Genomic DNA, 14,192 nt, shown 5'->3' on the forward strand with positions numbered 1-14,192 from the left:
AACAGAGACAGAGAGGAAGTCAAATCCCTCTGCTCCATGGATGCAACATTTTACCTTAATTAAATGAGGCTGAAGCCATGAACTTCAATAGGAAAATACAGGCTGAGCACGGTGGCTCACACCTGTAATCTCAGGTTAGTTTGGGAGGCTGAGGCAGGCAGATCACCTGAGGCCAGGAGTTTGAGACCAGCCTGGTCAACATGATGAAACCCCCTCACTACTAAAAATACAAAAATTATTTGGGCGTGATGGTGCACACCTGTAATCCCAGCCACTCAGATGGCTGAGGCATGGGAATCTCTTGAACCCCGGGAGGCGGAGGTTGCAGTGAGCCAAGATCATGCAACTGCACTCTAGCCTGGGTGACAGAGCAAGACTGTCTCCAGAAAAAAAAAAAACAAAAAACAAAAAGGGGGAGGCCGGGCGCGGTGGCTCTTGCCTGTAATCCCAGCACTTTGGGAGGCTGAGGCGGGTAGATCACGAGGTCAGGAGATCAAGACCATCCTGACTAACATGGTGAAATCCTGTCTCTACTAAAAACAAAAAAAATTAGCTGGGCGTGGTGGCACACGCCTGTAGTCCCAGCTACTCAGGAGGCTGAGGCAGGAGAATCGCTTGAACCCTGGAGGTGGAGGTTGCAGTGAGCCAAGATCGCACCACTGCACTCCAGCCTGGGCGACAGAGCGAGCCTCCATCTCAAAAAAATAAAGAAAATGTGCATAAGCATGAAGCTGTACCTGACAGATTGTGACTACTCGACGCATTTTATGTATCTGTGTGTGTGTGTGTATATATATGTGTGTACGTATGTGTGTGTATATATATATATACACACACACATACATATGTGTGTGTATTTATCTCTCTACCTATATATATATCAGAGACAAGGTCTTGCTCTGTCGCCCAGGCTGGAATGCAATGGCATGATCGTGGCTCATGACAGCCTCGACCTCAAGCAACCCTCCCACCTCAGCTTCCCAAGTAGCAGGGATTACAGGAGCATGCCAATGCACCAGGCTAATTTTTAATTTTTTAGTAGAGACAGGGTCTCACTATGTTGCCCAGGCTGAATTAAACTCCTAGGCTCAAGCGATCCTCCCACCTCAGCCTCCCAAAGTGCTGGGATTATAGGCGTGAGCCACTGCCCAGCCTTCAACACATAATATTATCATTGATAGTCAACATCTCTGGGCATTTTACAATGACTCATTTAAATATCACAGTTACCCTATGACTTAGATGCTATTATTACCCCATTTTACTGATGAGGAAACTGAGGTTTAGAGAAGTTTAAGTAGCAACCAGACACAGCTAGGTGATCCAATAACTAGAATATGAGTCCAAATCCTAAGCTTTTAACCACTGTGCCCGCTCCCATTTCTCAACACCGTGCCCCATGCAAAGCCTCATACTAGAAGAGAAACTGAGGCACAGAGGTTGGTTCTAGGACTGACAGTGCCCTTGGTAACCCCAGGAGAGGCTGGTGGAGACCTTCTGGATATCTCTACCCTCTGTCCCCTTCTGGGGCCTCATCCCTATCTGGGGCAGACTGGGCAGGAGGGAGAGGCTGTGGGAATGGGGGTGGGGTGGGAACAGGAGGCCTCGGGGAAAGGGGGTGCAGGGCTGCACCAAGCCAGGGACAGGAGGGGGCTGGGAGTCAAGACTCGCTTCCTTTGCTGGATTATCTCCTTTCAACAGTTTTATTGTAATTACCCTGAAAATGCCGCTATATATAGAGTGAGCCAAACAGCAGCTGTGCCTGGGGGGAGGGGGAATAAGAGGATGGGCGGGCAGGCAGCAGGGAGGAGGTGGGAGGAGGAGACAGGAAAGGAAAGGGAATCAGACAGGAAGAAGGGTAACAGCAGGGGGAGGGCAGGAGCTTCGGCAGAGATCTCAGAACTCTGGTCTTACGGAGAACCGGCTGGGGAGAGGAAGGCTGCTGGGGAGGGGAAGGCAGTGGAGGGCCTGCTGGGTTCCAAGACCTTGGGTCCAGTCCCCACATGGACAATGGGCCGAGTGGCTCAGGGAGTGCACGAAGTTCCAATGGGCTTATGGGAGGGCTAGGTCTCCACTTCTTTGTACCTACACACAGTTCTCAGGTCACTGCATGTCACTCCTCACCACTGCCCTGTGGTTGCCAGGACAACTGGGCAAACACCACACCAGCAGGGAGCCCCAAGCCCAGCCCAAGCCCCACAAAGTCTCCAGCCAGGAAGGGGAAGGCAGGATACCACTGCCTGGGAAGGCGGAAGTGAGAGAGGCAGGCCAACCCATTCCTGTTTCTCTTCTACTTCTTTCTCCAAAGAAAGCCCTCACTCTCCTCGCTACAGCCCAGGGAGGTCACGAGGGGCTGGGAAGACTCCTGTGGCAAAGTGGCCCACTCCAGCCCAGGCCTGAGAAAAAAGGACCCCGAAATCCTTCTGGCTACCAGTATCTTCTGCCTTCATGAGCTGGCCTCTCTCCAGACCACCCCCCAGCATTAAGAGGCGAGAGAGGGAAAAAAAAAACAAAAAACAAGTTTTGGTTTTTTTTTGTTTTTTTTTTTTTTGGAGATGGAGTTTTGCTCTTGTCATCCAGGCTGGAGTGCAGTGGCACAATCTCGGCTCACTGCAACCTCTGCCTCCTGGGTTCAAGCAGTTTTCCTGCCTCAGCCCCGCAAGTAGCTGGGATTACAGGCACCCGCCACCACGCTCAGCTAATTTTTTTGTATTTTTAGTAGACACAAGGTTTCACCATGTTGGCCAGGCTGGTCTCAAACTCTTGACCTCAGGTGATCCGCTCGCCTCGGCCTCCCAAAGGGCTGGGATTACAGGCATGAGCCACTGCCCCTGGCCTTTTTTTTAGATGGAGTCTCACTGCAACCTCCGCCTCCTGGGTTCAAGCAATTCTCCTGCCTCAGCCTCCCAAGCAGCTGGGATTACAGGCGCCCACCACCAGGCCTAGCTAATTTTTGTATTTTTAGTAGAAACGGGGTTTCACCATGTAGGTCAGGCTGGTCTCGAACTCCTGACCTCAGGTGATCCACCCGCCTCGGCCTCCCAAAGTGCTGGGATTACAGGCATGAGTGACCACACCCAGCCGAACAATTTTTAAAGAGAAGAGAGGGAGGTGGGAGGTAGGAGGTGGCAAAGGGTGGGCTAAGAGAGGCCCCCACACCTGTTTAGATGGGTCTGGATCTCTCCAGAGAACCTAGCACTGAATGGGTGTCACCAAGGCAGGAGCAAGGCCTGCTGGAGGCCGAGGCCAAGGCCATGCCACCCACATGCCTGGAGTATGGCCTCTGGAACCCCCTGCAGGCAGGGTGGGGTGGGAGAAGGTAAAAGCTCAGCATGATGTAGCAGTCCCCACCAGCCTCTTCTCCCCCAGGCATGGTTGGGAACATTCCTCTGTGGTTTTCCCGCCAGCCATACTGACGACTCTGTGGCCACAAGGCCAGAGCCACATGTGCAGAAGTGGCCAGATGTGGCCAGAGGGTGGGGTTACACATACTCATCTTCATTCCCAACCCATGTCCTGCCCCAGCACCAGGAGAAAGGGTCCTTGGAAACTGCAGAAGGCCTTCCTGGAGGTAACTAGCCACAGCCCACGATGGTGGCAAGGAAATGGCAGCCAGCTCAGGTCTCCCCAGCCCGTGAAGTGCTCAGCAAGGCCCTGAGCTGGCCGGAGGGTTATCTGTTCTTAGTCAAGCTTGGCTTGGCCCGTGGCACTCTGATCACTCAGCCAAGCAATGGACAGCCGTCAACCTGCTGCTCCCGGCAATGCCGGGGTTGTAGGAGCCAGATTCCAGCCTGCCTGCCCAGGGAAGGGCAGAGGTCCAAGCACTCCTGGCTCCCAGCAGATAACCCTGCCTAGGGCTGGAACTGTCGCCAGCAGTACTGGCTTCCCTTGCAGGAGCCCTGCAGAGAGCACATGGGCTCAGGCAAGGGGAATCTCCCACCAGCCTGTCACTGCCACTGCAGCAGCAGAGATGTTAGGCCCGGAGCTGCAGCGGGAACCACAGCCCTATTGGTATGCAGGTGGCAGGGCAGGCAGAGGGCTCTGCCATGCAGCCTCGTTCCCATGCAAACAGGAAGCACAGGCGACTCCAGAATATTAATTTGCAGGACCTGCAGGGACTGGGTGACATGCAGCACCCCAGGGGTTTGCCAGGTAGCAACCTGCTCCACCCAAAGTGGAAGGGGCCATGGCTACTCTGCCTGAGTCAGGGAAAGGAGGGGCATGGAGCCCCATGAATAGAGTCTGCCCAGGCACAGACCCTGGAGCCTGGCGGGCCTTGCACTCTCTCAAGGATCTGTGCCCTCTGCCAGCCTGGCATGAGCAGAGCAGGTGGCAGCAGTTGCCATCAGCACCAAGCACCTGGAAGGGGAAGTGGTTGTGTCATGATAGGAAGAGGCTCTTGGCCGCCTCCTGGTGGACTAGGAAGGCTGGGGAACCTCTGGGAAAAGAAGAGGATAGACAGGCCCGGGGCGTGGTGGCCAGTTACCCAGGGCTGTCTCTTAAAAAAAAGGGAACCTGGGCCAGGCGCAGTGGCTCATGCCTGTAATCCCAGCAGTTTGGGAGGCTGAGGCGGGCGGATCACCTGAGGTCAGGAGTTCAAGACCAGCCTGGCCAACATGGCAAAACCCCATCTCTACTAAAAAATACAAAGATTAGTTGGGTGCGGTAGCGGGCACTTGTAATCCCAGCTACTCAGGAGGCTGAGGCAGGGAGAGTTGTTTGAACCCAGGAGGCAGAGGTTGCAATGAGCCCAGATCATGCCACTGCACTCTAGCCTGGGTGATAGAGCGAGACCCTATCTAAAAAAAAAAAAAAAAAGAGGGTAGACGAAGGGGCACTGTTCCCTAAGAGGACAGGCCAAGAGCTCTGGCTAGCAAAGAGCCCCACTGAAAGGCCAGGGAGAGCCAAGCGTTGGTGGCTATAATCCCAGCATTTTGGGAGTCCGAGGCGGGAGGATCACTTGAGGTCAGGAGTTCAAGACCAGCCTGGCCAACATGGAAAAACCCCATCTTTACTAAAATTACAAAATTAGCCGGGTGTGGTGATGCATGCCTGTAATCCCAGCTACTCGGGAGGCTGAGGCAGGAAAATCACTTGAACCCGGGAGGCAGAGGTTGCAGTGAGCCAAGATCGCGACATTGCACTCCAGCCTGGGCAACAAGAGTGAAACTCTGTCTCAAAAAGAAAAAAATGAAAAGAAAAGAAAGCCAGGGAAAGGTTCACAGGGGAGGACAAGGACCTGGGTCCTTCCCTCACCTGCCAGGACTTCACTCTGATGGGAATCGAGAGGCCAGTAGAGCCACCTCCTGCAGAGGTCAGAGGCAAGGCTCTGGGGGAAAGCCTTGGGCCCCCCGCACCCAGCTCTATACTTTCCTCTTTCCCAGCACTGAGAACCTTCCTTCTCCTGGGAGTGGTGGCCTCAGTAACAAGCAGCAGCACCATCCTGACCTCTGGTTTTCTGCAGGGCTGACCACCCTGCCTCCATGGGAAGTCCCAGCCTGGGTTGCTGAGTGGGTGGGGCTGTGTGTGTTTCGTTTTTTCTTTTTTTTTTTTTGAGACGGAGTCTCGCTCTGTTGCCCAGGCTGGAGTGCAGTGGCGCGATCTCGGCTCACTGCAAGCTCCGCCTTCCAGGTTCACGCCATTCTCCTGCCTCAGCCTCCTGAGTAGCTGGGACTACAGGCACCCGCCACCACGCCCAGCTAATTTTTTGTATTTTTAGTAGAGACGGGGTTTCACCGTGTTAGCCAGGGTGGTCTCGATCTCCTGACCTCGTGATCTGCCCACCTCAGCCTCCCAAAGTGCCAGGATTACCAGCGTGAGCCACCGTGCCTGGCCTTGGGGCTGTGTGTTTCTAGCCATGCGAGGGGCTGGAAAAATAGCAAGCTCTGGCTCAGGAGCTGCCCTGCCCAGCTCACGAGCACAAGTGGCCATGGGCAGTGCACCACCTGAGTGACACTTCTTTCCCATCCCGCTGGGTCTGCCTCCTCTTCAGGAACCCCATCAGCCCAGTGGGGACTTCTGTGGTAGATTCTTCAGGCAGCATGAGGGAGAGCCTGGTCCTCTGGGGGAGATGATGTAGGTGCTCGTGGGGCAACCCCTGAGACTACTGCCAGCACAGCCTTAGTCTAAAAAAACGGTGTCCAGGCAAAGAGACACTGCCTCCAAATAGACGAGTGGCCCTGGGCCATGAGGCACAGGTTTTAGCAGTGCCTTGGGAACAAGAATTCACAATAAAAAACAGATCTAGCTTCCCAAGAGCAAGGCCAAGCCTTCCGCCTGCTCTGAACACACCATGAGCTGCACCCCAGGTCCAAGCCCCCTCTCAGAGACAACATCTCCAACTCAAGAATCCCTGTGACAAGAACCCCGGCCAGCAAGGAAATGGGAACTATAGTTCCCCCTAGAGAAGCCCTGGGGGGAGGGAGCTGGCACAGTGTGGACCTGCCTGGCAGACCCAAGAGGCTTAGCATCTAGCTCTAAAAGACCCTGCTCCATAAAATAAATATAAAAATAAGGCCAGGCACAGTGGTTCATGCCTGTAATCCCAGCACTTTGAGAGGCCAAGGCGGGCAGATCACGAGGTCAGGAGTTTGAGACCAGCCTGGCCAACATGGTGAAACCCCGTCTCTACTAAAGATACAAAAAAAAAAAAAAAAAAAAAAATTAGCTGGGCATGGTGGCCCACACCTGTAATCCCAGCTACTCGGGCAGCTGAGGCAGGAGAATCACTTGAACCCAGGAGGTGGAGGTTGCAGTGAGCTGAGATCGCGCCATTGCACTCCAGCCTGGGCAACAACAGGGAGAGACTCCGTCTCAAAATAAATAAATAAATACATACATACATACGTAATTTTTTTTTCTTTTTTTTGGAGACGGAGTCTCGCTCTGTCGCCAGGCTGGAGTGCAGTGGCGTGATCTCGGCTCACTGCAACCTCCGCCTTCTGGGTTCAAGCGATTCTCCTGCCTCAGCCTCCTGAATAGCTGGGACTACAGGCATGTGCCACCACACCCACCTAATTTTTTGTATTTTTAGGTAGAGACGGGGTTTCACCATGTTGGTCAGGATGATCTCAATCTCTTGACCTCATGATCCGCCCGCCTCAGCCTCCCAAAGTGCTGGGATTACAGGCGTGAGCCACTGCGCCTGGCCTAAAATAAAATTAATTTTTAAAAAGACCCTGCTCCAGCCGGGCACAGTGGCTCATGCCTGTAATCCCAGCACTTTGGGAGGCTGAGACAGGCAGATCACGAGGTCAGGAGATCAAGACCACCCTGGCTAACACGGTGAAACACCGTCTCTACTAAAAACACAAAAAATTAGCTGGGTGTGGTGGCAGGCCTGTATTCTCAGCTACTTGGGAGGCTGAGGGGCTGAGGCAGGAGAATGGCATGAACCCGGGAGGTGGAGCTTGCAGTGAGCCAAGATCACACCACTGCACTCCAGCCTTGGCGACAGAGCAAGACTCCGTCTCAAAAAAAAAAAAAAAAAAAAAGACCCTGCTCCAGGAGCCACCAGCCCCAGAAAGCTAGGAGGAGGGGAGGGGACCCAAGGGGCGTAGAGTACAAGGCATGGGACATTATTACGCTGTTTGGAATGTCTATACATAACATAAATGAGGTCCGTGCAGATACTCCCTGGATCTGAGGAGCTGCCTTCACAAGAGGAGAAAGTGAAAGGGACCTTGGAGGTCATCTGTTTCAATACCCTCAAGACACAGGTGAGGAAACCAAGCCTCTTAGAGAGGCTGCTCTGCAGATGATCCTACCAGCTAAGTAGCAGCAAAACAGAGATCTGAACGCAGGTGTCCTGACTCCTGGCACAGGCAGGTTCCCTCTGAACACACACGTGTGCAGTCTGGCTCCCATGTGGGATGTCCTATGTGCTCAGTGTAAGCCAGCCCTGGGACAGGTGAGGGTCTCAAAAACAATAAAGAGGAGATGAGGTAGGGGGAGGGGGGCAGGGAAGGATGTACAAGGGCTGGTGTTCAACTTTATTCCTGAGCCCCCTTCTCTCCTTGGGCTAAAATCCCCTCAGGGAGGAAGATCACCGACCAAGTGGTCCTCAGTATTTACAAAAAACAAAGCCTCCTCTCACAACCCCAGGAGGCCCCCGAGGCTAGAATGGTTCCTGTGCTCTAGGAGCACAAACTGTGGACGCACACTGACAGGCCCAGCACTTAAGGCTGTGTAGGTGGCATATTGCACATGGGCTCTCGTCTAAAGGGGTGAGTTGGGGCTGACATCTAGCCCAAGCTCCAATCGCCAGGCCATGCACACTGGCATGAGGACGTATCTACCCAGAAGAAGGGCCACCTTTTTAAAATCTGCACAAAAGAAGCTTTTATGTGGATTAGCAACGTTCCTACCCAGAGACCTGAGTTCAAATTCCAGCTCTCACTTACTCTATGACCTTGGGCAGGTTCCCTTTTTCTTTTTTTCTGACAGAGTCTCGCTCTGTTGCTAGGCTGGAGTAGTGCAGTGGTGCAATCTTGGCTCACTGCAACCTCCACCTCCCGGCTTCAAGTGATTCTCCTGCCTCAGCCTCCTGAGTAGCTGGGACTGCAGGCATGTGCCACCACACCCAGCTAATTTTTGTATTTTTAGTAGAGACGGAGTTTCACCATGTTGGCCAGGCTGGTCTCCAACTCTTGACCTCGTGATCCGCCTGCCTCGGCCTCCCAAAGTGTTGGGATTACAGGCATGAGCCATATGCCCGGCCAGGTTCTCTCTTTTTTTTTTTTTTTTGGAGACAGTCTCTCTGTTGCCCAGCTGGAGTGCGGTGGGGTGGGGTGATCTCGGGTCACTGCAACCTCCGCCTCCTGGGTTCAAGCGATTCTCCTGCCTCAGCCTCCCAAGTAGCTGGGACTACAGGCACATGCCACCACACCTGGCTAATCATTTGTATTCTTAGTAGAGACAGGGTTTCACCGTGTTAGCCAGGATGGTCTCTATCCCCCGACCTCAGCTGATCCACCCGCCTCGCCTCCCAAAGTGTTGGGATTACAGGCTTGAGCTACCGCCCCCGGCCCAGGTTCCCTTTATTTAAGAGACAGCCCTAGGTAACTGGCCTACCCTAGAGGGCAGAATCTCCCACCAGCACCCAGGCCCTCAGGACCTCCCTCACCAGGTGGGGGAGACAGCAGCTTCTAATTACCTTGTTCTGTCTCTTGGAGATTGGGGAAAAGCTCTTGTTCCTGTCCTGGCCTGAGGGAGTTTGGAAGGAGGCGGAGAACAACATTTCACACCCTGAGCCCATGACGCTGTGACACCGATGACCCCTCCCCACCAAGGACAGTTTCCCATGATCTATTTCTGTGCTCTTGTGTGACTAGTGAGGCCAATTTAGGCTCAACAGGTTCTACCACAATTCAGATACTATTTCCACATAGGCAAGCTGGGTCTGACTCTCACCTAGCAATTTTCACAATTCCTTAAGTAACACAAGTGAACACACATCACGTAGTGGTTGAGAGCAAGGGCTCTGGAGTGAGAGGACGCTGGGGTTCAATTCAGGCTCTCCCCTTCCTAGGGCAAGACACAGGGCACCACCCTGCGCTCCATGCAGGCATCTGTAAACTGGCAGGCAGAACAGCACCCAACACCCAGGGTAGTTAGGCTCGGGAGAATGTACGCGGAGGAGCTTGGCACAGGGCCTGGGAAGATCAAGAGGTGCGAGGCAGGGCTATTATTAATGGCTCCTCATATTTTTTGTGTCCTGAACTCTTTTGGCAATCTAGTGAAGCCTGTGGACCACTTCTCAGAATGGTTTTTTCTTTTTTTTTTTTTTGAGACGTAGTTTCGCTCTTGTTGCCCAGGCTGGAGTGCAATGGCACGATCTCGGCTCACTGCAATCCCTGCCTCCCAAGTTCAAGCGATTCTCCTGCCTCAGCCTCCCAAGTAGCTGGGATTACAGGCATACGCCACCATGCCCGGCTAATTTTGTATTTTTAGTAGAGATGGGGTTTCACCATGTTGGCCAGGCTGGTTTCGAAGCCCTGACCTCAGGTGATCCGCCTGCCTCGGCCTCCCAAAGTGCTGGAATTATACGCGTGAGCCACCATGCCTGGCCTTCTCAGGATGTTTCTGAAGTGCATAAAATCGGCTGGGTGCAGTGGCTCACACCTGTAATCCCAGCACTTTGGGACCCCGAGGTGGGCAGATCACTTGAGGTCAGGATTTCAAGACCAGCCTGGCCAACGTGGTGAAACCCCGTCTCTACTAAAAATACAAAAATTACCCAGGCATGGTCTCACATACTCGGGAGACTGAGGCAGGAGAATCGCTTGAACCCAGAGGCGGAGGTTGCAGTGAGCTGAGATTGCACTACTGCACTCCAGCCTGGGCAACAGAGCGAGACTCTGTCTCAAAAAAAAATTAAAAAAATAAATAAAAAATAAAGTGCATAAAATGAAATACTTAAGAATTCCCAAATCTTTTAAGTGGGGCCAACTTCACAGACCACCTGGATTCTAAGGGTGCCAGCCTCAGAATCCCACCAGAGGGAAGTCTTAGCACTCATTTCAGACTGTCTGAATGTCACTCTGCGGTCCTGGCACAAACAAAGCCCTTCTTGTGGGTCCCACACAACACAAACCCGTGCAGCCAGCGGCTGGGTGTCGATGCCAGAGGAGGAATCTCTGAGAGCAGCTTCCTTCCCACTCCCGCACTTCCAGGCCATCTCACCTGCCTCGCTACCTCCAGGAAGGGCCACTCTGTGCTCTTGGCTCAGGCCACAATTGTGGGATCCCTTTTGTCCCTCAAAAACATTACTTAGCACAGATAAGCACAAGTTTTGGGCCTTGCTCTCGGGGCCCCCAGCTGCAAGCAGTCCAAAATTCTTCCCTGGGCTCCAACCTCACTGAGCCCCACTGCAGGTGACACCTCTCTCCCCAGTTCTATTCCACATCCTCCCGGGCTGAGGACATAGGAGGCCCTAAGCCCCTCTTCCCACAAAGCAGACACAATGTGAAACTGACCTCAGAGACCCTTAGAGTGTCAGGGAAGGAAAGGCCTGAAGACCAGCAACTCAATTCCCCCTGTTTTCAGAGGGAGGAAAGTGAGGCCAGAGAAGGAAGAGACTTGTCCAAGGTCACCTGGAAAGGAGATGGAGGACCCAGGGCTTAATCCCAGCTCTTCTGGCTCTCTGTCTTCTCCCCACTAAAAAACAGAAGGGGAAACATTAAGGCCCGGTCTCAAACTGAATGAGAGATGCAACAAGGGGCCAAACTCTGTATTAAGGATCCAGAGGTCTAGACAAGGGCACCTGGTTGGTCCCCAGAACATCTGAGCCCAGGGGTGCAGGGGAGAATGGGATCAAGTGCAGGGAACCCCCAGAAACCTTGAGGCAGACTGTGACTCTGAAGGACCTTAAGCTCGGGATGCAGAGCCCTGATGGAAGGCATAAAACATCTCTCACTGGTGCAAATAGAGTTAGTAGTCGATCCTGGGATGCTCTCTGGAGAAATAGACTCACATTTCCCAGTCCAGCCATTTCTAGCATATACCTGGGTACAAAGCTACAGGCAAGTAAAAGGCACACTAACCATTCAAAGTCTGCAGCTATTGCTAGGACTGTTTGCTCCACACCTGGGGTGGAATGGCAGGGGCTCCAGAGCAGATCTGCCTCCACTCCCTAAGCACAGCACAGCCCTGGGTGTCCAGCAGGGCACCCTGCCCACCTGGCTGCTTGCCATAATCCCCCATTCCACTGGGGTTTAGACACCTGCTCCCTGGCGGCTGGAAACATCCTCTCTCCTGACTGACAGGCGGCTGGGAGTTGGATTCACCTCTTTCTAGGGCGACAGCCTCCCTCCTCCTGTATAGGCCCTTCTCCCAGGAGTCCCAAGACCCACTAAGGCCTTCCAGGGATGCTGATGACATCTACTGGCTGACTGCTGGGCCCTGTGACCCATGTCCACACAGCTCTTACTCCAAGGATGGGCTCAGTCTACTCGCATCAGAATCACCTGAGACATGAGTTTAAATCACTGGTTCCTGGGCTGCCCTACAGAATCCAAACCTTTGTTGGGGGGGCAGGGTGTCAAGGCCTGAGAATCTGCATTTTAATACGCTCCCTTGGTTAATTCTGATGCGACCAAAAGTTTGAGAACCACTGCCTCACAGCGTCCCCAGGCTGCCTCCTGCCAACCTGACAGCTGTTACAGCTGTGTGCATGGACACAGTTAATCTGATTTCCTGTCTGGCAGCTGTGTGGCAGGGAAGGGACAGCTGAGGGTCTCAAAAACAAGAAGAGGGGATGAGGCAGGGGGAGGGGGACACAGGAGGTTGTATGGGGGCTGGTGTTCAACTTTATTCCTGAGCCCCTCCTCTCCTTGGGCTAAAATCCCCTCAGGGAGAAAGATCACAGACCAAGTGGTCCTCAGTATTTACAGAAAACAAAGCCTCCTCTCACAACCCCAGGAGGCCCCCAAGGCTAGAATGGTTCCTGTGCTCTAGGAGCACAAACTGTGGACGCGCACTGACAGGCCCAGCACTTAAGGCTGTGTAGGTGGCATATTGCACATGGGCTCTCGTCTAAAGGGGTGAGTTGGGGCTGACATCTAGCCCAAGCTCCAATCGCCAGGCCATGCACACTGGCATGAGGACGTATCTACCCAGAAGAGGGCCACCTTTTAAAAATCTGCACAAAAGAAGCTTTTTTTTTTTTTTGAGGCAAAGTCTTGCTCTTGTTGCCCAGGCTGGAGTGCAATGGCGCAATCTCGACTCACCGCAACCTCTGCCTCCCAGGTTCAAGCGATTCTCCTGCCTCAGCCTCCCAAGTAGCTAGGATTACAGGCATGCACCACGTCGGCTAATTTTTTGTATTTTTAGTAGAGACGGGGTTTCTCCATGTTGGTCAGGCTGGTCTCAAACTCCCAACCTCCCAAAGTGCTGGGATTCCAGGTGTGAGCCACCGAGCCCGGCCAAAAGTAGCTTTTATGTGGATTAGCAATGGTCCTACCCAGACACCTGAGTTCAAATTCCAGCTCTCACTTACTCTGTGACCTTGGGCAGGTTCCCTTTTTTTAAGAGATAGGGTCTTGTTATAGCGCCCAGGCTGGAATGCAGTGATCATGGCTCATTGCAGCCTCAAACTCCTGGGCTCAAGCAATCCTCCTGCCTCAGCCTCCTGAGTAGCTAGAACTACAGGTGCATGCTACTGTGCCTGATTAATTTTTTTTTTTACATTTTTTTGTAGAGACAGGGTCTGGCTATGCTGCGCAGGCTGGTCTCAAACTCCTGGCCTGAAGTGATCTTCCTCCCTCAGGCTTCCAAAGTGCTGGGATTACAGGTATGAGCTACCATGTCCAGTAAGTTCCTTAACCTCTCTGAGCCTTCTCAATTATACACCACAGCTATCAACACTGTCCTAAAACAGATATGGCAAGGGCCGGGCGTGGTGGCTCACGCCTGCAATCCCAACACTGTGGGGAGGCTGAGGCAGGCGGATCACGAGGTCAGGAGTTCGAGACCAGCTTGGCCAACATAGTGAAAACCCATCTCTACTAAAAATACAAAAATTAGCCAGGCACGGTGGCGTGTGCCTGTAGTCCCAGCTACTCGGGAGGCTGAGGCAGGAGAATCGCTTGAACCCAGGAGGTGGAGGCTGTGGTGACCCAAGATCGTGCCACTGTACTCCAGCCTGGGCAAAAGAGGGAGACTCCGTATCAAAAAAAAAAAAAAAAAAAAAGGGCAGGGAAAGTACCTGATAGCCTTGTCACTCAGTGCATTATAATAGTTCCACTCTCACCCCTGAGTCTTGCACTTCTTACCCTCCCGGCACTACATACCTATACACACAGCCAAACCCAGAAAGACTGAAGAGCACGAACACGAATATCCAGGGAAAGCCCTAAGACCAAACCTGGACCCCATGGCACTTCCCAGTGTCCATAGCATTCCTTCCTGGCACAAGCAGGATTCACACCCTCCCTCCATGGGAAAAGCAGACTCCTCCTCCATGCCATCTCATAAAGTCCTGCGTATTGTCTGGGCATCAGCTCCACCCAGTACAAGACAAAGGGGAATCCAGGGCCCACATAAGGGAGGCAGAGAATTCCCCACCTCTGTGTCCTTGAGAATCCCATACTAGAGTTCAAACTCCCAGGCTCCCCAAGCCAGAACTAAGCTGGGATGATGGTGGTGCCCACTGTGCACTGGGGAGCTGTGGTAGGGTGGCCAGGCAGAGACCC

The 14,192-nt window shown here is 53.2% G+C and overlaps 1 protein-coding gene across 15 annotated transcripts in view, besides 4 other annotated features; it reads right to left on the reverse strand.

The window, feature by feature from the left end:
- Positions 1 to 14,192, reverse strand: part of HDAC5 (histone deacetylase 5) — a 46,889-nt gene that overhangs the window by 17,186 nt on the left and 15,511 nt on the right. The window contains exon 1 of one of the 15 annotated variants that reach the window (XM_047435056.1): positions 10,977 to 11,064. The exons of 13 other annotated variants lie outside the window; for them this stretch is intronic. The gene's annotated coding sequence lies outside the window, so the exon portion shown is untranslated. Of the gene's footprint in view, positions 1 to 9,154; positions 9,810 to 10,976; positions 11,065 to 14,192 lie in introns of those variants that run through there. One more of the 15 variants, XM_047435055.1, reaches the window with a different exon arrangement.
- Positions 1,422 to 2,182: an enhancer, noted in NCBI's record as "H3K27ac-H3K4me1 hESC enhancer chr17:42172728-42173488 (GRCh37/hg19 assembly coordinates)". NCBI's record gives its function as "activates a minimal SCP1, AML or CMV promoter by ChIP-STARR-seq in primed H9 embryonic stem cells {active_cell/tissue: H9 hESC(primed)}" and the evidence as "EXISTENCE:reporter gene assay evidence [ECO:0000049][PMID:30033119]".
- Positions 4,283 to 4,577: an enhancer, noted in NCBI's record as "tiled region #9416; HepG2 Activating DNase unmatched - State 25:Art, and K562 Activating DNase unmatched - State 8:EnhW". NCBI's record gives its function as "activates a minimal TATA promoter and a strong SV40 promoter by Sharpr-MPRA in HepG2 and K562 cells {active_cell/tissue: HepG2 | K562}" and the evidence as "EXISTENCE:reporter gene assay evidence [ECO:0000049][PMID:27701403]".
- Positions 4,925 to 5,136: a silencer, noted in NCBI's record as "fragment chr17:42176231-42176442 (GRCh37/hg19 assembly coordinates)". NCBI's record gives its function as "represses an EF-1alpha promoter that drives an FKBP-Casp9 reporter gene in an ReSE screen in HepG2 liver carcinoma cells {active_cell/tissue: HepG2}" and the evidence as "EXISTENCE:reporter gene assay evidence [ECO:0000049][PMID:32094911]".
- Positions 11,345 to 11,996: an enhancer, noted in NCBI's record as "H3K4me1 hESC enhancer chr17:42182651-42183302 (GRCh37/hg19 assembly coordinates)". NCBI's record gives its function as "activates a minimal SCP1, AML or CMV promoter by ChIP-STARR-seq in naive and primed H9 embryonic stem cells {active_cell/tissue: H9 hESC(naive and primed)}" and the evidence as "EXISTENCE:reporter gene assay evidence [ECO:0000049][PMID:30033119]".

This window comes from Homo sapiens, chromosome 17 (genome assembly GCF_000001405.40).
Source record: "Homo sapiens chromosome 17, GRCh38.p14 Primary Assembly".
NCBI classification, from domain to species: Eukaryota; Metazoa; Chordata; class Mammalia; order Primates; family Hominidae; genus Homo; species Homo sapiens.